Source organism: Homo sapiens, chromosome 2 (assembly GCF_000001405.40).
Source record: "Homo sapiens chromosome 2, GRCh38.p14 Primary Assembly".
NCBI classification, from domain to species: domain Eukaryota; kingdom Metazoa; phylum Chordata; class Mammalia; order Primates; family Hominidae; genus Homo; species Homo sapiens.
The window spans coordinates 173,401,842-173,402,971 of record NC_000002.12 but is presented as its reverse complement, the minus strand read 5'-3'; the positions used below and the strand labels follow the sequence as shown (position 1 = coordinate 173,402,971).

Below are 1,130 nucleotides of genomic sequence, written 5' to 3'. Positions count from 1 at the left end.
TTGTGGCTCCCCCTGCTAAAGGTATCCTCACAGGATGTCATATCAGAGCTCAGCCCCCGAGTGAGAAACAGTTATGCCTAGGGGTATGGAAGGGAAAAAGAGGAGGAAACGGGGGCTTTAATTTCCATCCCTGACTTTTTCCCGGCTGCCTTTGTAAGACTTTGGTCACCTGCTCCTAAAATGCCTCTTCAGCTGTGTTTCTACAGAGGTGTTAACTGCTTTCCTCACCGGGGACTGTGCAAAGGGAGACCTCTGTTTCTGGTTCAGCGACATTACCCACGGACCTTGTTACCAACCTTGGCGACCAGAGAACGCTGATCTCCAAAGGTCTAGACCCGGTGAAACAGCGTTCGGTGGCCACTGACCGGTTTCCAGAGTCAGAGCTCCCCCTGCTGGAATCCAAAGCACGTCGTAACCCTGTCTGGACGTATTTTATTCCACAAGACCGTGCAGCCCTGATTGAGTGAACTTTCCACCAGCCACTTTATCCTCATACACAGGCATTTTCCGAGGAGGACTTGAGCCGACATCAGTGTTTGGCCATTCGCGGTTCTCGCTTCCCCTTGGTTATTTCCCCTTCGCTGAAATATATTCTAGTTTTCCCAGCCCAGATCTAATTGGACTCCTCCGGGCTGGGAATTTAGGTTTGGGAGATTTCCCAAATTAAACCATGAAGTTTATCACTAATATAATTACATTTCTCAAATACCAGACCTTTTGCATTGCTCATCTAGATGGGGGAAAGGAAGAAAGGAAAAAGTGAGGAAGGGAGGGAGAGAGGGAGGGAGGGAGGGAGGGAAGGAAGAAAGGAGGGAAGGAGGGAAGGAGGAACAGTGAGTCCTGCTTTTCTATCATGGGATAATAACATGTCTAAAAAAAGTGTTTCCCTTAATTGGGACCCAGGGGACGGAGAGTAGAAAAATACCTCCAGAAAGTCCCCCTTCGGAGTGGGGTCTAGAGCACAGATGTTGGGAATCAGGTTTCACTCTGCTCCAACAGCTCAGCCTTTCCATGCCATAAGGACCCTGCGCTGTCTGCCGAGGAAAACAACGAACAGTAAACCTTTGCTCATTTCTAGCTTCATCTTCAGAGACCGGATTCTCCAGAATTCCTGTGGCTGAGTAATTCCA

The 1,130-nt window shown here is 49.0% G+C and overlaps 1 annotated feature.

Moving 5' to 3' along the window:
• Positions 307–476: a silencer, noted in NCBI's record as "silent region_12115". NCBI's record gives its function as "represses an Ori minimal core promoter by ATAC-STARR-seq in GM12878 lymphoblastoid cells {active_cell/tissue: GM12878}" and the evidence as "EXISTENCE:reporter gene assay evidence [ECO:0000049][PMID:35858748]".